At 52.1% G+C, this 20,525-nt stretch overlaps 1 protein-coding gene across 120 annotated transcripts in view; it reads right to left on the bottom strand.

The window, feature by feature from the left end:
- CELF4 (CUGBP Elav-like family member 4) overlaps positions 1-20,525 on the bottom strand; it is a 322,955-nt gene that overhangs the window by 257,823 nt on the left and 44,607 nt on the right. The window contains exon 2 of one of the 120 annotated variants that reach the window (NM_001353701.2): positions 17,613-19,297. The exons of the other annotated variants lie outside the window; for them this stretch is intronic. Within the exon in view, the coding sequence (NP_001340630.1) occupies positions 18,705-19,297 (593 nt within the window). The 3' untranslated portion in view covers positions 17,613-18,704. Of the gene's footprint in view, positions 1-17,612; positions 19,298-20,525 lie in introns of those variants that run through there. 120 annotated transcript variants of the gene reach the window in all.

The raw sequence follows: 20,525 nt of genomic DNA on the forward strand, positions 1-20,525 counted from the left end.
GGGACTACAGGCACCTGCCACCATGCCTGGCTAATTTTTTTGTATTTTTAGTAGAGACGGGGTTTCACTGTGTTAGCCAGGATGGTCTTGATCTGCTGACCTCGTGATCCACCCGCCTCGGTCTCCCAAAGTGCTGGGATTACAGGTGTGAGCCACCACACCTGGTCATTTTCTTTAGAACCTTTCTGTGTCTCAGCTAAGCTGAATGTACCCCAGCCCCACTGGGGAGGCTGAAGCACGTAGGGTGAGGTGGATAGAAGGTCCAGCTGAGGCCTCTCCTGCCTGGAATCTGAGGCTGAGCAGAGGCTCACCCCCAGCTCTACCCTTCCTGTGAGGTGTGGGGCTGATCAGAGGCCTTAGTTGTGCCAGAGACGTGGGCCATGGCCAAGGATTCAGGCCAGCTGAGAGCAGAGGTCTGGGACTGGAGTGAGAGAAGGTGGGGGTGGCCGGGATGCAGAACCATAGGGAGACCCTGGGCACAAAGGCCCCCACAGCATGGCATTGTGACAAGACACTGGTTTGGAAGCTGCACGTTAGCTCAGACGCCAGGATAGGGTCCTTCTGTCAGGTCCCTGGCCTAGCCACCTTATCTATAAAATCTCTGCTTAAGTGCAGGTTGATGTGGGAAAGTTCCAGAGAATGAAAGTGGGAAGGATGAGTCAGAGCTATGGCTTTTAATCTTGCTTCTACTTGTTCTTCCTTCAGCTGAGGGCTCAGGTGGGACAACGTGGAGCCCCAGACCCTGGCAGCCCTCTGGGGCCTGCGGGTCTCCATTCCATCATTAAGTGTCTGGGGTATCTGTTAATTGCTCAGCCCTGGCCTGGGAAGAGAAGGCAGGGAAATAGAAGAAGAAAGACCACCTGACCTCAGGGGCATCCTGCCTGGGGATGGGCCTGGGACAGAGGGATATGGAGGAAGCCAGGTAAGCTGGTGTGTGGCCCAGTAACCAAGCTTCAGACTGTAGAGGCCTGAGGAAGCCATAGACAGAAACAGGGCATCTGGGGAACCTTCCTGGAGGCTGGGCAGGCTGCCTGGGCCTCAGTGGAGGTAGGTAGGAAGAAGGAGGAGGGGAGGGCCTTGCAGTGGTTGGAGTGAACAAGTTATGTGTGGGACTCGGAGGAGCAGTGGGCATTTGCAGTCAGCCAGTGTGCTCTGTAGAAATGCACTCCAACGTTGACCAGCACGGGCTGCCTCCCGCTTTCCTCTCTCCTTCCATTCCTCTCTTTCTCTCTCCATTTTCCCCCTTCTCTCACCAAGGTTCTCTTCTGGGGAAGCTGGGGCATGAAGAGGGAGGACACACATGGGGCTAAGGGAGAACCAGTAGCCCTCGGCTGAATCATGTTTGTGCATCACTCGTGGTCTCAGCAGCATGGGCTGCCTCTGCCTCCCATGACCAGGCCCCCCGTGAACCTCGAGCCACTGAGCTGCCCGCTTCGTCTGTGGGTCTAAATATAGCGGTTGAGATGCGCACTCTGGAATTGGATTTGATGTAGCCCTCTGGACTCGAGCTAACTTTTGGGGAGTAGTTTTCTTGGGAGCCTGCCAGTCCAATTCCTCCCTCATGAACACTAATTACCGCACAGACCTTCTCCATGAAATCGGTGCTGAAGCCATTTCCATCCAGGCGGCTCTCCAAGACGAAATTTTTCTACTGGGAACCGACAGCCGCAAATAAACCTACCATCTACTTAGCAACAGAGAGCAAGAGCGGGAGGGAGGAAGGAAGGGGGGGCAGGGAGAGTGGGAGGGAGAAAGGAGAGGGAGGGCTCTGCTTCTTTTCTTCCTCCTGTTCTTTATTTTTCAAAAAGGATGTAATCATCTCTCACCGGGAAGGTGGTACAGGGCATCTCATGAGACAGGACAGTGGCCCAGGAGAAAGGCTCAGGCCTCCAGCAAGGCTAGTATCTGCTTTTGGTGGCCTGAGTGTGGCCCGGGCCCCACTGCACTGCTGGGCACCATTGGGGAGCAAAGGCAGCCCCTTGCCAGCTGCAGGGTTTCTTCCCTTCTTTCCCTCCCTGATCTCCCTCAAGCCTCTGCAAGCCTGGCCTGTGCCCAGCTCCCTGTCTCACCTCACTAAGGATGGGCCCCATCCCTCTCTCTGCCTGGTGAATTCCCACCAATCAGCCAAGGCCTCGGTAACATCTCACCTCGTCCAGGCAGCCCTCCCAAGCCCTCTAGGTAGCGCTGATTCCCTCCATTCTCAACTCTAGAGGCCTGTCCCAGGCACCCAGTGCTGGGGTCGGATCTGCTTTCCTTGCTTCCTAATTGAGCCTTTGCATTAGCTGCCCAAAGAAGGATGGGCACTAGAGGGACAGAGCCTCACAGTACCAGGTCGGGTGGGTGCATCATCACACATCTGTGAGCAGATGACATTTCCACCACGGTGCAGAGGATACCCATGAGGCACAGAGGGGTCGGATGGAATGCTCATGGTCACTCACTATCTAGGGGGAGGCAGGGCTTGGACTTAAATGCATGTGTGTGTGTCTAAAGGCCAGATACTGCGCTTTCTCTCCCCTGGCCTCCCCTGGGATGGTTCTGGGGCAGTGCCTGATTCTTTCCCACCTGTCTGCCTCAAAGGTCAGCCCAGGGCTCTGCGCTCAGCCCCTGTTCCAGGAGCACTTGCAGCCAGAGAATAGGAGAATATATTTTCCCATGAGGTTTACCAAGGTTGAGGGCAGGCTCGGCGAGCTCTTATGACTCCTGGCCCGTGGCTGGCACTCCAGCCAACAAAGCCCAAGTGGTGCCCAGAGCCTGCTGTCGAGTCACGAGTGCTGTCCCAACCTTGCCCAGTCAGCAGAAGAGCTACTTCCTCCCTCAGAAGAGCCCCTTCCACATCCTGTGCTTAGCTGTGTGCCCAGGGACACTCCAAGCCAAGGTCCCAGCTCACAAGTCACCTCCCCAGAATGCTTAGCATCTGTTTTCTGAGACTCATGCGTGGAGGACAAGACATTCTCAGAAAAGTCACTAAAAGGGGTGCTAGCACCACTTCTGCCACCAAGGTTTGATAAATCTCTTCACTTCTCTGGGTCTCAGTTTTCCCTTCCATCAAATGGGCATGCTGAGTCCTGCCCTAGTTGTCTTACATGGGTGGGTGGTGCTGGCTTCAAATGAGATGGCAGCAGGGAGTACTGAGAGCCGCTTGAATGTCAGGCAGTCTCCTTCAAGGTCCCTGTTCCATTTACTCTGCTTCATGCTCTCCCAAGACTCTCCTTTTCCTTCCCTGACCCCATCTGGAGTGGGTAAGTAAGGCCGGGGCTCAGTTGTCCTCTCCAGTAAGAAGCAACCAGATTCAGGGCCAAGAGAGTGGCTTCCAGAGAGCCCCTCCTGGGGCCAGGAGAGGATGGGAGTTCCTGGAAGAGCTTTCTCTTAGAAGAGACCTGGGCTAGAAATCATGAACGTGGGTTTTATGCTCACAGCTAAGCCACTTTTCTTCTTTGGATGCCTGTGGCCTTATGTATAGGGAGGAATGGAGTTGGATGAGCTGATCTGTGCAGCCTGGCCCCTTCCATTCAGATGGTATGGTTAAGAATGGGGCTTACGGCCGGGCACAGTGGCTCACGCCTGTAATCCCAGCACCTTGGGAGGCCAAGGCAGGTGGATCTTCTGAGGTCAGGAGTTCAAGATCAGCCTGGCCAACATGGTGAAACCCCGTCTCTACTAAAAATACAAAATTAGCTGGGCATGGTGGTACGTGCCTGTAATCCGAGCTACTCTGGAGAGGTTGCAGTGAGCCGAGATCACGCCACTTCACTCCAGCATGGGTGACAGAGTGAGACTCCATCTCAAAAAAAAAAAAAAAAAAAAGGATGGGGCTTGCACATTGCTTGGCTCAATTTCCTTTTAGCATGTGATTTGGGGCAGGTTTCTTAGCTGCTTTCCTCGTCTGTAAAATAGGAGTCTAGCAGCACTTACTTACCTCCCTGGCTTGCTGAGGGTTAAGTGAGAACACACATGCCTGGTGTACAGGCAGGGCTGGCTCTCAGTAATCAGAGAGTACCAGTCACCACCAGCACAATGAAGCACTGCCTCGGGCGAGGGGCGGTGCTTAGCACTAAGCACACATTTTCTCACTTAGTCCACTGGCTCTATTTTCATTTTTTGGCGTGTCTGTGAGAAATATGGAGATCCTCGAGAGGTGAGGTCAGAGCGCTACCTGGAATTATGGATCTAATTTGGCATCTACAGAGTAAGTCTCAGCATCTGGCTGGGGCAAGAGGCTTCTTTACAAAAGAAAAGGGCCTGAGCCACAAACAATTTGAGGGCCAGTGAGGATGGTGACCACCAGGCCTGGGCCAGAGCACGGGAAGGCCAAGAGGAGTCCTAGGGCTGGCCAGAGCCCATCCTCCTCCAGCCACTGCAGGACACCAAGGCTGAGACTGAGAAAGGCAGGAGAAGTGCCTTGGGGTTCTCTGGTTAGGAGAAGCAGGGGCAGGGGGCAACTGTCCTATTAGGAGAAGCAGGGGCAGGGGGCAACTGTCCCAGAGGGAAGTGAGGTCCTCATATGACTGGTGTCTCGCATGGCTGAGGCCAGATTGATGACCAACTTACATCTGCTTGACCCATGGGCCTGGTGACTGGGGCCAGCCAGGCCAACCTGTAGCTTCCAAGAAGCAGTCTCGTCTCCACACTCCCTTTCTTTCAGCAACTTTTCTATTTTCTAGTTTTGCATCTCCGCTTAGATTCCTGGTTAATCTTCTTTGGAAAAGCTCCAAACCCTTCAGCAGAGCTAAGCTGAAAGGGTCACATCCACCATGGGGTCTGCCTAGAGGGGAACATGGGAATGGGCATAACTATCCTGGCTGGAGTTCAGGCACAGTGGGCTTTTGGGAGCCGAAACGTCGGTGGGTCAGGGCCAGGTGGGGTGATTGTGGGGACCAAGTCCTTCCTGCCTAAGGTGAGTGCCCTTCTCCCAGGGGAATCCTCCCCAGCCTTTTTGTGAACAGAGGACCTCAGTGGCTGGCAGGGGAGCAGGGTGGTTAGAGACATGGGCTTTGGCATCAGACAGACCTGGAATCCCATCTGGGCTCTACCACTTCCTGGCTATGTGATGTTGGAGGAGTTCCTTAACCTCTCTAGCCCCACTGCCCAGACTCTACAGGGGGATCGATAGTGTGAACTGTGCCCCAGGCCTGTTGTGACACATGTGAAGCTCCCAGTACACTGCCAGGCCCCACATGTGTTCCTGTTGTGATGCCATTAAGCAGAAGTGTCCTCTGGATTGCCCAGTCCTCCCAGAACCACACTGGAGCAAGTCTTTTCCATGAGGCACGTCTTTTCCATGGGACAGGAGGGTGGTGGCCTTGATCTGCGGGCAAGTTGCCCCTCCCAGGCCCAGGGAGAGTAGTGGGTAGGAGCTGCCATTCAAAGCCTCAGCCCTGGTTTGTTTCTCCCCCCTCCCCTCCCACCCCCAACGCCGCCCCCCTGTTCTTTTGGCATTCTCTGTTCCTTCTCTTAGGCGGGTGGCTGAGCAGAAAAACAAATCAAAGTTGCCTTCGTGTCTTGAAGCCCGCGATGCTCCTGCAAAGCCATCCCTTGCGTCCCATTACCCACCCCAATAACTCTTGTACATGGAGTGTGAAATAATTAGCAGTGGCAAAAATAATTTAGGAAACAAGAAGAAACTAATTGTATAGGCTTGTTTGGGGAAAACACAGCCGACCAAAAAATCCCGCAGTGTAGGGAGATGTGGAGATGTGGACAGACCAGCCAGCTCCCTGTAGGTCAAGCCCATGGGCTATCACAGGACCTGCTAACTCTACATCTGCCCCTCCAAGAGGGGGCTGGCTTGTGCTGTTGCCAGGACAAGTGACCTCATGGGCACAGAGGTGACTTCTCAAGACACATTTACAGCCCATCTATGCCATCCCAGGAAGGCAGATGGAGAGGGAGGTTGGGCAAACTGGAAGGGTCTCCTGCGGTCACATGGGCCTGGTGTCCTCTCTGAACTTGAGCTGCAGTCGCCCACAAGGCCCCCACATCCAGCAGGCCTGGAATGCTCCTGCCTGCCTGCCTTTGCCATTCAACTCTCCAGCCCCAAAAGACTCCCACTGCACATCAGCCCAACGGCAGCAGCGCCATTAAACGCAATGTGGCGCTTCCCTGGGAAATGGGGGGAAGCATCGCGCCTTGCATTTTATGGCTTTTCTAACTTTGAAAAGTTTGTTTCCTCCTTGGGCACTTTTCTGCTTCCTAAGCTCCCTTCCATCCTCCGTCTCATCTGCTCCTCACTTTCCGGGAGCTGGAAGGGGGTCAGGCACCCTCGTTTCCTTGGGCCAGATGAAAAGGAGTGAGGAAACCTGTACATTCTTGAATGGATGGTTTCAGGTGAGGGAAACTAGAGCCAGAGAGATGGAATTGTTGGCCTAAAGTCACAGTTGCCAGGAGGGTGTCTCAGGGTGTGACCCAGGGCTCTCTCTCTGTCCCCTGCTGCTTCTTGCCTTCCCTACCCTGCTGGAGAACTGTCTTGCCCACTCAAGGCGTTCACCATGATCCCAGCTGAGCACGATGGTCTCATATGCTCCCCTCAGTCACTGCTCAAGGCCCAGAGACCCTGACAGTCATCTGAGTGAGTGCTAGGAACAGGGTGGGGAGGAGGCCCCTCCCCTTCTCTTCTGCCCCTCACCTTAGATGGGTGCATTTGTATTTGTCTAGAACTGATTTACTAGGTTGTTATTCGGGACAGAAATCTCACCTCTCTCTGTGCATGTTCTTGTCTGCTATCTCCTCACTCATCTTCTCTGGTCTGATAACCTCCTAATTCATCCCCTGGCCTCCAGCGTCTCTGTTTCAGGCCAGCACAGTGATTGTCCTAAGGCCAGGTTCTGGTCTGTCACTTCCTTGCTTTGAAATCCTCCATGACTTCCCATTTCCTCTAAAATCAGTGCACACTTCTCAGGCTTGCCTGCTATGTGATATTGCTCTCTGCCATCCTCCTTAGTCAAATCTCAGTGTTCAAGGCATCACTTTAAATCGGGCTCCTCCTAGAGAAGGCAGCTGTGAGAGAGCAGACCTGGGTTTATACTGGGCTGCTTGTCCCCTACTTCACTGTTTTCACAGGAATCACAGCGGCTCCCACTGTGGCATGGCTAGTTCTCATCTCTCAGACACACAGCCACCTGCTGAACACAATGCCTGAGGGCCCAGGGCCCCTCACATTTAACTTGTGCAAAGAGGCCCCTGTTATGTGCCCACATCTGCCCATCCTCCTGGGTTCTGCCACGCTGGTGATCAGCACCCCCGAGCCAGAAACCCAGCAGTTCTACATTCCTCCCCCTTCATCCTCACTTACCCCACAGCCATCTCCAAAGTGGATTCCTCCTCTCCACCAGCCCCTGCCCCAGCCCAGGTCCAGACCTCGCCATCACTCGCCAAGTTTGTGTTTCCTGCAGTTCCTGGGAGCTGTTACCTCCTCTCCGCTTTTCCCTGCCAGGCACCTCTGGGCCTCTCCTTTCTCCCATTTCTTTTCCCTGGCTTGGCTGAAGTCTGATACTGAGTTGCTATGGCATATGAGACAGGCTGGGCTTGATCACCGCATCTCTAAGGCCAGACTAAGACATTGGAAGCTGTGGGTGCCAGTGGAGATTGGGGTTGGTAAGTGCTAGCAAGGCAGTGGCATGTCTGTGTCATCATCAGTCTGGAATCAGGACATGGGATGAGCCAGGGGAGAGCGTGCAGAGGCAGGAGGGTGACTCTCCAGAGGCAGGCCCCTCTGGGCCCATTTGCTGTGCTAATTGCCTGACAGAATTACAGGGCAGGTGTCCAGGTCTTGGGCTGTGGTCTCATCACACACTCAGCAGCTGAGGTCTTTTGCGGAGTGGGGGTTAGGTGGAGAGCTACTGAAATAAGCATGGAGAGGCACCCCCCTCACCTCCTGCTGGGTTGATGGATGGCACTAGGCATGCATAGGTAGGGCATGCCTGTTCTCCACGCTGACAAATGCCACAGGTGCAGCTGCAGGGGACATGAGACAGCTGCTCCCATCACATCTCTGTGTGTGCTGCTCAAGGTCATGCTGTGAGCTCAAGTGGTCTGGTGGACTGGGGGCCTGAAGCCCCCCTTGCGGCCATTGGTTGGTCTCCTTAGCTAACCATTCCTTTCTAGCTGGGGAAGCAGGAGGGGTGGTGGAAGCAGGAGGGAGGCCTCTTCCCTCTGAGCCAAGCCAGTTTAACTGTGCACGTGCTGACACAAACCCTGAGATCTAGCATCTGTATGCTTGGAGAGAGAAGGGTGATCTCTGCTGTGGCAGCTCAGCTGTCACTAGTGTCACCTCTCTTCTGCCTCAACCTGTTCTTCTGCCTCCTGGGACGTCTGCATACACCACTCCTGCCCTAATGTGGTCTTCCCAGCTCAAAGCCCCATCTCGATTGTTCTGGGATGTCATCAGTCTCCCTCCCACAGACAGGGCTCAAGGGTTCAGCCATCAAAATGGACTTCAGCTTTTCTTTCCCCAAATCACTTGTACAAAAATTAATTTAATGGAAGAATGTTATCACTTTATATCCCCCCCTCCTCTAATGAAAAGAAAACAAAGATTAGCACCTGCAACCACTTATCTATAGTAGACTCTAGAGAATACCATTTTCACATGGAATTGATCTAAATTTATAATATGTAGGTATTTTGAGTTCTGCAGAAAAGCACCACGAAGCTAGGACATCCAGGCACTGGGTGCCCTACCCATGTGGGAAAGCCATGTGTGTGTGGTGAAAAAATCCAGGAATTGGCATCTGAGTTTCTGGCATCTTTCATTTGGTTGACCCAAGACTTGATCTATCTGAACCTCAGCTTTGTCATCGGTAATGAGAATAAAACTGATCAGATAGGGTTGCCCCTAGGATTAGAGAGAGCAGGCATTGCATGACACAGCAGACACTCAATGAGTATTGAGTTCATCTGAATCAAGGTGGGGACCTTGAGACAGACAAGTCAGTTTGGACATTGACAAACAATAAGAAGGCATAAGCCGTATGATCTAGCAATTCTACTCCTAGGTATATGCCCCAAAGAATTAAAGATGGGTATTGAAACATATACTTGTACATGCATGTTCTCAGCAACAGTATTCACAAAACCTAAAGTAGGAATAGCCTACATTTTCATCAGCTTATGAATGGATAAACAAAATATGGTATATCCATTCAATGGAATATTATTCAGCCATCAAAAGGAAGATAATTCTGACATACACTACAGTGTGGATGAACCTTGAAAATATGCTCAGTGAAAGAAGCCAGACACAAGAGGTCACATATTATTGATTCCATTTATAGGAAACATCCAGAATAAGTAAATCCATGGAGATAGAAAGAAGATTAGTGGTTACCAGGGATTGGGAGGAGGTAGGAATGGGGTATAACTGCCTAATGCACACGAAGGTTTCCTTCTAGGATGATGAATATGTCTCAGAACTTGAGCATGATAGTTGCACAACACAGAGATGGTACTAAATGCCACTGAATTGTACACTGTAATGTGGTTAATGTTTAAGAGAAAAGAAGAGTAAAGAAAAGAAAGCATGGGGGAAATGAATACACTAAAGCACAACAACTTTACCCTCCTCCTGCCCCACGAGTTGCAATATTCCAGCCCAGAATCCTCAGTGCACAGTTCCTCAGTGCATGCCAGGCTTCTCCTTGCTCAACCTGGCCGAATGTTACTTGGACCCAGCTGGCCAATCTGCTGCAGGGACCCCTGCCTTCTTCCCCAGAAGCTGGCATTGATCCACTGTGCAGATTTGTCTCTTTGGCACTTGGGTGCCTCAGCTCTCCTGCTCCTCTAGGCTTCCTTAGTGACCCCAGCAGGCTTCCATCAGCCACAGAGGTTTCCCTCACTTCTAGAGGCAACCCTGTGCAATCCGTCTCTGCTCTCTACCTCACCAGGATGGTCTGAAGCCCCATCATGAGCTCTCCACTTACAGAATGAAACTCGACTTGCCCTTGGCCCTTGCCCCGCCTTTCTACATGCCTGGTGGTCTGAGGGGGTGGACTTCATGGTGCCAGAGTTTCTCCCTGTAGGATGGTCCAGCAGTAACTTCTCTGCCCTGGGCTTCTGTTTTCTCCTTGGCTCCTGGGCTTCCTTTGGAAACATCTTCCCTTCCTTCTCCAGGTGCTTCCACTTAGCCGTGCACATGCTCCCCCTTTCACCACATAACAGAAACATCCAAGAAGATGTGTCAACAGTCAGTGCTGACCCAGGGGCTGTGCCTGAGAGTGACATTGGAGGTGGCCTTCTGGAGGCAGCTCTGCCTTCCTGGGTGGTCTGTTTTCTGTTCCATAGAGTAACTTGTGCAGCCTCTAGGCCATTACCCAGGGGCACTATTTGTCACCCATCACCCCACCTCCTGGTCATCACCATCCCCACCAGAAGGTGCCTTCCTGTGTCCCCCATCCCCCAGCGGTGCTCTGTAATGATTTGTTAAAAGATTGAATGATGAATAAATAAAGGGGAGGATGGTCTCTTTCAGGACCTTTCACCAACCTCTCCCTTCCTTAAAATCCTTGCGTGTTGGAAGCCGAAACCTTGCATGTCCTTAGTTACTCACTCACCCATCCTGCCACAGGTATGCATCAGCTGCCCTCCACAGGCAGGCTCTTTGTTCGGTCAGGTGCCCACTGTGTGCTGCCCTCATGAGCATGTGAGCCTTGATGCTTCCAGCAAGCCAAGCTTCCTGGGGCACGGTTGGGTCTCCCCGCGTCCGGGTCCCCTGCACAAGGCTCTAGCCCATCAAGGTCAGCCCCAAAGTCCTTGGCATTCCCCAGGCTCTCCTCTCAGGCCCAGCTCAGCCTGGGCCTCCCTCAGGACTTGAATCCTAGTCTCGCTCACCCACATTTCACTCTCCCTTCCCCAAACTCAGCCTGTGACACTCTTGGTCTAACATACCCATTCGACACACTCCTCACACTGCCATTGACTACCCAGATGTGAATCTCCTCCTGCTGTGAGCGCCAAACAGTGGGAGCATGGGCTTCTTCATCTGTGCATCCATGGCAGCACTTAGCGCTCAGTCAACATCTCCCAGTGGTAAGGCAGGAGGTAGGTGGGATAAGTTGCTGGTTATCCTTTCCCTCACACTCTCTGCTCTTTTTCTTTCATTCTTTCTTCTTTTTTGTAAAGCTGGAGGGAATACAACTTCAGCATCTCCACCCACTTTATAAATACTTTGACAAATGGTTTCTCTCCTACCATGCTTACCCCAAGCAGGGGCATCTGTCATTTCTGAAAGCAACTGTTACAGCCCCTCCGACCTTTAATGCAGAGTCAGCGGCTGGGGCTGGGGGTGGGGATAGAGGAGGGGGCAGCCACGACTGCAGTTCATCAGGCCCAGAATTTAAAAAAAGAAAGAAAGAAAGACAGAAAAAACCGTACACAACTCACAGAGTAATTGCTGTTTCCTTGGCAACAAAGCAGCAGTCTGGGGCCCAGTGCTCTGCTGTCCTTCGCTGGGCTGGGAGGGCCAGGGACAGTTGGGGGGCAGGGGGCGAGAGTGTTTCCCTCCTCCTGTGGCCCTTGGAAGAGAATCTGTCTTCAAGTCACTCTTCAGCCACCTTTCTTGTTTTCTGTTGGTCTCTTGGCTGCAGTTCATAATATCCAGGCCAATGTCCATGTGCTGAGCGTGATGGGGCCGTGTCGGCCACCCACCCTCCAAGATGAGTTCCGTGGAGCTGCGGCCTCTCTGAAAGCCCAGGCACCATTTAAGGCATTGTCTTCTTTCCTCCTCCTCTTTCTCTTCCTCCGGTTCCCTTCTTTTCTCTTTCCTTTCTCCCTCCTCCCCCTTTTTCCTTCTTTTCCTTTCTCTTCCCTTTCTCCTCATGCTTCATTTTCCTCCTCTTCTTCCTCTTTCTCTTTCTTCTCTTCCTTTTCTTCCTACTCCATCTCCTGTCCTTTCTTCTTCCACCCTTTATCTTGACACCTTTCTCGTCTTCCTCCTTCTCTTCTTTCTCCTCCTTCTCCTCCTCCTCTTTGTCCTCTTCTTCCTCCTCCTTCTCCATCTCTTTCTTCTCCTCCTCTTCTTTCTTCTGTTCTTTATCTTTGACTCCTTTCTGTTTTTCTTCCTCCTCCTCCCCTTTCTCCTTCTTCCCTCCTGCTTTCTCTTTTTCTTCTTCCCTTTAGTCCTTCTATACTTTCTCCTCTACTTTCCTTTCTCCTCTTGTTCTTCTTCCTCCTCTTCCTGTTCCTCTTCTTTCTTCTCTCTCCTCCTCCTCCTTCTCCTCTCTGCCCTTGTCTTTGTAAAAACACCCTTCTCCCGGGAGTTCTGCAGGTGTCATTGGCCTTCAGGGCCCATGGATGACAGCAGAGAGCTGGAGAATGGGAATTTTGAGGAGTGTGGGGTCTCAGAGGCTGGGAGATGCATGGTGGATCTCAGGGGCACAGGAGACCCAGGCGAAAGTGAGAAAAGTGCCTTCTCTAGAGGTTTGGGAGAAGAGTTGAAACCCATGACCTTCCCTAGCATCCACCAACCACCTGGTCCAGTCATGTGTGGTGCTGCTGCGGGAACTGAGAATGGAACAACAGCCCTTTGTTCCCTGCCTCAATATGGGTCGCTTTGTCTTCCAAGGAAAACTCTGTGGTATCCCCCATTCTAGAAAGTGTCTCCCAGTTCTGCCAACTCTAATGGTCCATCCCTACTCTGCCACATGCAGGACCTTCTCTTTCAATCCATATCTGTCATCTGGGAGGTGGGATGGACTCCCAGGCACAGTGTGAGCAAACTGAGAGTTGGAGAAAGCCTCATTCTTACAGGCTCCTCTGTGTCCAGCAGGTGTTCAGCAAATGTGTGTCCATGGATTGGCAGCAATATGGGTTTCCTCTGGTCTGAGCTTTACTTTCCAAAGAGAAAGGCATGGAGAGCTACTGGGCAGGGGCGTGGACCATTCTTATGGAATGGATTTGATGTCTCCATTCTTTCACTCACTCCAGGGCCTCTTTAGTCTGCACCAACCTTCTCTTTCCAGCTCTACCTACTAAGCTTCTGTCAAGAACATCTTCTTACTGTTCCTGAGACACACCTGCTCATTCCTACCAGATTGTCCATGCTCATCCTGGTTCCAGCTCCTGGAATACCCTCCCTAGCACTTTCTGCTTATCTTTATCCAACCTGTACTTTCAGGCCAATCCGCAGTGCTCCCTCCTCTATGGAGCCTCCCTGAAGGGTTCATGAACTTCTGCATGCCTTGTCTTGCTCCAGCAGTTACAGTCCTAACTACCTCTCTTGTGTTGTCCTCTGATGGGTCCATGAGGCCCTAATTTTGTCCCTCTTCCCTTCTGTGTGGTGCCGTGTGTGTGTGTGTGTGTGTGTGTGTGTGTGTGTGTGTGTGTATACCTTCTGACAGAGGTGTGGGATGGTGACTTCTGAGGTGATGGCTCTACCAAGTCCAGCAAACGCAGATGCTCAGGGCAAGTCCCTAGAAATGTGGAGACACAGATCTCTCTGGTCTACTGGTCAGCAGAGCACTGGGTCCCTGGTACCTCTTTCTGCATTTCCTGTACCCTGACCCATCTCAAACAACTAGAGGCTCTGATCCTCTCTGGCCCTGGTGTTCAAGGTAATCTGCTCCACTTCTCCCATCATCTGAGGGGTCCTTGACTAACAGCTGAAAGTACGGCCCTCTTCCCCTCTCTCTCCTAGGACGAGGGCATTACAATGGGAACCAAAGCTTCCTGCAAAAGGAACACTGTTTTCTGGCCCAGGGCTTTCATGGAAATCATGGGTTAGGACTTCTTCATAGTATGGCACATCACCAGCAAACACTTATTGAACACTTATTGCATGCATGGCTCTGTGCTGGATGCTGATGAGAAGGAAAAGAGTTTCTTCCGAGAGCCTGGTATCTGACCTCAGGGAGCTCAGAGCCCCCTTGAAGAGCAAAGCAGACACATGAACAGACAATCACACGAGGAATTGGAGGAGACTGAAACCAACCAATTGAGCTCCCGGTCCCAAGCCCAAGGAGGCCTGGGCGGTAAACAAACAACTTCAGAAAAGCAAAGGGAATTAGAATTTTAAAAACCTTCCGGTGATAATAAAATCTGGGGTATAAAATGGGTTAGGAAATTTATTTTTTCAATATATGATTTTTCCCCCTCTCCTTTGAAAATCCACATATCTATTCTGCTTCAGGTTGGGGCTCCTTTAAATGGGTTTATTAAAAAAATCATTTACTGTGGGCTTTTCAGTTCAACTTTAACTGGACCGGGTGGAAATTAAAAAAAGGATATTTTAAAAATAAATTATATAAATTACAGCCCTAATTATAAAGGAACTTTTAAAAATGTATCCAAGCATTAAAAGAAAATCTTTTTTTAAAAAAATGCCCCATTTCCCTGTTCCATTGCGGGAACATAATTTAGATACTTTTAACAAATCCTCATCCTTTGGAAGAAGCGGGCTCTCCAGGCCCATTTGCCTGTGTCTCTTTCTGAGTGCTATTATTATTTGATAACTCTGGGCTTAAATCTGCATGAGAGCCAATTATCTCTCTTTGTCATCAAGCAGGCTTGCTGTTCGGCAGTGGTTTTTATAGTACAGTAAAAGCCTTAAGGAGCCTGGAGGAGGGGGATTTGCAGTTCAGATTACACTGCATCTTGCCTCCCTAAATGCCTTTCCTTATTCCCTTTTCTGTTTTTGCTTTTCATCCCTCCCTGGTGCAACAAGTTCTCCCCTCCTGGCTGCTCTGCAGTGTTGTCTGACCCCGAGCTTCTCCCCAGCCTGGCTACCCTCTGCCAGTGCTTTCCTTGAGGATCCCATCCTATCAAGGGTCTTTCTCCCTTCTATCTTTGGCAGGCCTAGGCTTCCTGAACACAAGTGGTAGGAACTGGCATTTCTTGGCCCATCCTCCAGTAGAGGCCTAAAGCAATGGTCACACTCTGCTTTCTTAACTAGCGGAGGTTGCATCAAGACCGTAACGCTGGAGGGAGACAGGCCTCCCTACTCGTGGAGCTCACAGCTTGACTGGGACACTGAACAGACCCACCCGAGGGATGGTATCAAGGGTGGCGGTGGATCCAGTGCCTTAGCAGTGAACTGAAGGGTGCTGCCCTCCAGCTGGGGCATGGGGAGCTCTGGGGGTGTGGGCATGGTGTCCTGCTTCTTTTATTTCTCCACCAAGAAGAGCCAGTAAGTGCTGACTGGGAAGGACAGATGGAGCTTCGCAGAGGGGCTGGAGGACATTGGCCAGATCCTGAAAGGCTGGAGTGGGTGGAGGGCAAAGGCAGGAGACCAGGCTGGATGAGAGTACTTCATCCCGGTGAAAGCAGGACTTGCCTTCTTCATTGTAGCATCCCAGCATTTAGACTGGGCTGGGTGCATGGAGGCACTTGATGCACTTTGGTGGAGTGAGTGAGTGAGTGAATGAATGAATGAATGTGGATGATGAGGGTCTGGTGAAGGTGTGGAGAGGCTGTAGATGGATTCAGAGGGTTTAGGGTATTAGACCTTTTCAGTCTCAGATAGCAAACTGCTTTTTTCTGGCAAAAAATATTATTTACTGGCTTCTCATCATCCTAATCATAGAGCCCAACATCCCTTCCTGCCCCCTGGTAGACCAGGCCTCCTCCCTGCTCCCTTCTTGGCCCTGGGGTAGGCATGTGCACACACCGTTTCCTCTGCTGGGAGGCTCCTCCTCCCGTCCACCTGGACCACCCATCCCACCACTGTTAAGCATCGCTTCCTCCTGGAATTCCTTCTTGACTCCAAAATTCAAGTCAGGGGCCCTGCTAGCTCTAGTCCTCACTAACTCTGCTGTCCCCATGCCAACACTAGCCTGGCTCCTGGCCAGCAAAGGGAGCTTGGGGAAGACAGAGCCCTCGCCCCGGCCACAGACTGACCGTTATCTCCATTGGGGTCTTTCACACAAAATATAAATTATGCCTAATAGTAGCTAGAATTAACTACCAGGACCAGGAATTAACTACTGTGGACCAGGCACTGTGGTCAGCATTTTATATAATTTATGGCATTATTCCTCAAGCTGAGATGTGGAGACCATGAATGACTTATTCAAGGCTGAACACATATGTGTGGCAGAAAGCCAATTCAGAACCCAGGCAGGTCTGGCTCCAAGGCTTTAGCTATTTCCCTTGTGTAGCTGGCTCTGAGGGCCTTGGGCTTGGAGAGGGTGGCTCACCCCCACAGCTGGCATGGGGCGCTGGCTCCCAACAACTGCGCTCCTTAGCTGTGTAGCTCAGCTCTGGGGGCACGTGGCTGGGATCTCCTCCCCATTTTAATACTTGACACAATTTCCCTCCCCAAAAAGCTGCATTAGGACAATAACATGGCCTGTGTTCTCTCTCTCTGCAGACTGGGAAGCCCTGAGAGGCTGCGGGACCGTGCCTTCAACTCTGGGTATCACACAGCCCTCACATATGTGCACATGCACATGCATGCCCCATCCAAGCACAGGGATGGGTGAGGCAACTGGCTCTGCAGGCTTCTGCCTTCTACTTAGCACTGAGAGAGCCAGGAATGCTGTGGGGTCAGTTGCTCCCTCCCCATGCCCTGCTTGGAAGACAGGGCTGGCTGAGTGTCCCGTCCCCTCTCCCCACTCAGAGAATGTCCAGAGCTAAGTCTGAGCAAAGGGCCAGCTTTTGCTTTTGGGGCTGGGGTACAGGCAGATTCCTGTTGGAGAGCATTTATTTTACTTTTCAAGTGTGGGCTTTCTGGAAGGTAATGGGAAACTGCAAGGTGTCTTGCAAGCAGGTGTTTGGCATATGGTGATGTGGTTCCCAGGGTGGCTTTTGGGCAGGGGCAGGGCGGGGTCCTCCAGGAGCTGTCTGTCGGTGCTGAGCTCAGTCTGCTTCCCTACCACTCAGCCCACTGCTTGGATGGTTCCCTCTGTCACTCTCCTCTTACACTGTCCAGGTTTTAGCACTGAAAGTCATATGTGTGGGAAGCCTCTCAGTCCCAGGCCAACCAGAACAGTTGGTCGCCCCGTGTCTAACATACCTGTCTAACTGTCTCCAGGGCATGGCTCATCAGCGTGGCTGTGGCACCCTCTCCCTGCCTTCTCTTGTCTCCTTCACTGTCAAGTCTGGGAAAGGGCTCCTGGTGGGTGTCCGATGAGGCACAGCTGGGTGACAAAGATGGCTCCAGCTCTGGTTGGGGCGTGCACCTCATGGTGACACCTCCCTCTGTGGGACCTCCGAGGGTCAAGGAAGGAGGCACCTTCCATCCTAGGTTTAGGATTCATTGCACTTACACAGGATTCCCCGTGGCAGATCACCTGTGTTCCAGAGGCTGTGTAGTTCAGGGTGTGTGTGAGGCAGTTGCATGGTAGGGGGGCACCTATAACTGGGGGTAAGTCTGTAATGGTGCAATAGATGATGTTAGAACAGTGGGGGTCCCCCTCCCTCTCAGGCCTCAAAAGCACAACCACCAGAGCTGGTGGGTGGCACTGGGCCATGGGGAGACCTGACCAGCAAGGCTCCCTCTTTCCTCTGTCCAGGCCACCCAGCCTGAGATACAGTGCTGGTCACTCTAGGGAATGCTGTGGCCCCCAGGGGACACCCCTTGGGTGGCTCCTCCCTGGCTTCTCACTGCTGGCTGGCAGGCAGGCTGGTGGGCGGGCAAGCGTAATATTACCCCTAAGATAAATGAAGAAGAGTTTCAGCCCTTATTGGATTATAGTTTTTATTGAACTTTATAAATTCCAATTAGCAGACCCCTGGGCAATAAGCGACACACAGCCCGTGGCTCGCTTTATAGCGTGATTATGACCCTGTTTATCCTCCCCTGAACGAGAAGTATTAATGGAGGAAACAAAGGAAAGGGACTCAAAAATACATAAAAACAGATATTGGTGACACAGAGATAAACAGACAGGAGTCAGGGAGAGAAAACAATCTCCGGGCAGGCAAGGGGGAACAGAGAATCAGAGATTCTAAGAACCCATGTGCTCAGAGCCACCGTGAGCTTGGATGTCCTTCTGGCCTCCCTCCCAGGGTACAAAGCCCCCTAGGCTCCTGAAGGCTGCTGGGGCCTGAAGAGCACCCTCCCATCCCCAAGCCCTACCTCAGGCAATCTTGCTGGGGTTGGAGTGTGATTTACTAAGTGCAGAGTCCAGCGTGCCCCACACTGGGCAGTCTGCTACCTCCTGAGGCCCTCAGCTCTACAGCTGAGCAGCTCCAGGGATGGCCCAGTGTGGTTCCTTACAGTTTTAGGTGTCTTCTTTGCCCTTTAAGAATCTGATGGACATTAACATGCATTGATTCTAGAAAAATGTCTCCATACATGCACATGCATTATGTACACATGCACGCACAAGTAATTTTGCCTATAGGTACAGGGGGTTGTCCAAGCTCTGAAAACTGATCATGCATTCTGCCCCCTCCTCCAGGGGACTGAAAGCATAAGATTAAGAATCCTTGAGTTTGAATTGAACCAAGTAAGATCTGTCTCCCAGGAGCTTCCACCTGGAGGTCCTGAGAGCCCACAGACAGATGGGCAGCCTCCAAGGGCCTGGCCACAGCTGGGAATGCCCCTCCAACCCCACCTGCTTTTCATTTCTTCCTGGATACTCTGGTTTGCGTTCATCAGCTTTAAATTTCTAACAGCCATGACCCAGAACAGCAGCTGGGAAGAAGCTGTCCCTAGAGAGGTGTGGGGGTGAGCTGGGGGGTCCTGAGCCAGCCAGGTGGGTGGTGGTACTGCTCTTCTGGACTGAAACCCTTGCCCGACTTGCTGCATCTCCCAGGAGAAAGAAGTGTGCTCAAGGATGGCGTGCCCTCCTCACTTTGTCTGGCTTTGTTTGCGCCTTCCTCCCCCTTCTGCAGGTCATCTTTCTTGGAGGCTTCAGTGGAAGATTAAAAAAGAAAAAAAAATTCCTCCTATCAGCATTTTGCCGTTGTTTGGAAGCACTAACACAGAAGTACCCGAGGAGGCTTTTGTAGTTTGAACAGGATGAAAAATGCTTCAGGTGTTCGTCAGTCTGCAGCAGTATGTAAATAAGATGCCGAGATCTGTGGGCAGCGAGGAGTATGTCTGGCTGGCTGGGCCCATTAGGAGAGTCACTGAGGAGCCCCTGCCACAAGCGTCCCCCCTCAGTGGCCTGGGCCTTGGCTCGCATATGCTCTGCACCTCTGTGATTTATGGAGCTTGCTGGGCACTGTCTTACTTCAGATAAGCAGTGTGGATGTACATAAACTCCAGTGGTCATGAACTGCTCCAGCCAGGACTTTCCTGATTCCTGTCCTCTGGGAGGCAGTGAGGCAGGGGGCCTGAGCCAGGAAAAGGGACTGGAATGACAGAGGCAGATTCCTGAACTGGCAGACTGGTGGGAGACAAGGGGTTCCTTGTTAAGACCTGGGAAAACGGGAGGGAGAAGGTAGCTGTTGTCACTTAGGCACCAGGACGTCACCACCCTCTCCTTGGGGGAGACTGGGGCTTCCTGAGAGCTTGCATTACCCAAGCAAGGCGGGGAGGCCTAGAGATGAGGGAGGCCATCCCATGCTACCAGGGCTGCATTCTCTCACCCCAAGCTCGGGGCCCCTAAATTGGCTGAGCCTGACTCCTGAAGAATAGGCTGCTCCTTCCCCTGGCCCCAGCTCTGGGGAACAGTGTCTCCTCTCTGTTCATGTGCTGGGCCCTGGGCCTGGCCAGGGGAGCAGGGGTCCAGGCCAGAGGCATAGAAACCAGGCCAGAGTGCTGTGTGCACTTGGCACTTTCCAGAGAGCGGTCCCAGGAAGGCGTGAGTTAAATAGGGCATGTCTTCTCCTCCCCATTTCATGAATGTAGAAATGAAGGCCCAGAGAGGCACTGTTTGACCAAGCTTTGCACTATAGCTGCTCCATTCAAAGAGCAGGTTTTGGAGTTGTATCTCTGGGTTACTGCTTGACTCAGCTGGCAGAGGGTAACAGGCTTCGGGTTGCTCTCTGGAAAAAAGGTGTTTTTCCTGATTGTGGGAGGGTGGGTAGGGGGATAACAGGGCCTGAGAGCAGAGCCGGGAGCCTAGAAGCCACTGGTGCTGTCTGTCTAGCTGGCTGGTTCCCGTAATCAAAAAGCCCACTTTGAAAGCCCCTGAGGCCTATGAAGGCTTGGGCAGAGCACTCAGATCCCAAGACATTTAGGGGATTATCCCTTCTTACCCAGAGGGGACAGTCTTATGATGTCATATATTTCTGGGCTGTCCTTCTGTTCCTAGCACACTGCTATGCTCACAGTAGGTGTTCAGTCCATGATTTCAGTAGAGTGTCAATGCCAGGGCTTCAGGCTTTGGAATGCAGATTGATGGACAGTGGGGACTTTGGGGTTTTCCTGGCACTTCTGCAATCATCAGGAAAGCCCCTCTTCACATTGCCATGACCCTCCAGACCCCTTGGCATGGGGAGGGGTCCCTCAGGATCCTTTCAAACAGATGAAGAAGCAATCTGCCCAGACAGCCTAGGGGATGGGATGTGGGAGAGGGGAGGGTATCGGGGGTTGGGGGACAGACATATATCAGGGGGCTCTGGAGCCTCCTTCAACCACACCTGCCACCAACTAGCCAAGTGACTGTGGCCCTATCACTCTCTCTCTGGGCCTTCGTTTCCTC

This window comes from Homo sapiens, chromosome 18 (assembly GCF_000001405.40).
Source record: "Homo sapiens chromosome 18, GRCh38.p14 Primary Assembly".
Classification (NCBI taxonomy): Eukaryota; Metazoa; Chordata; class Mammalia; order Primates; family Hominidae; genus Homo; species Homo sapiens.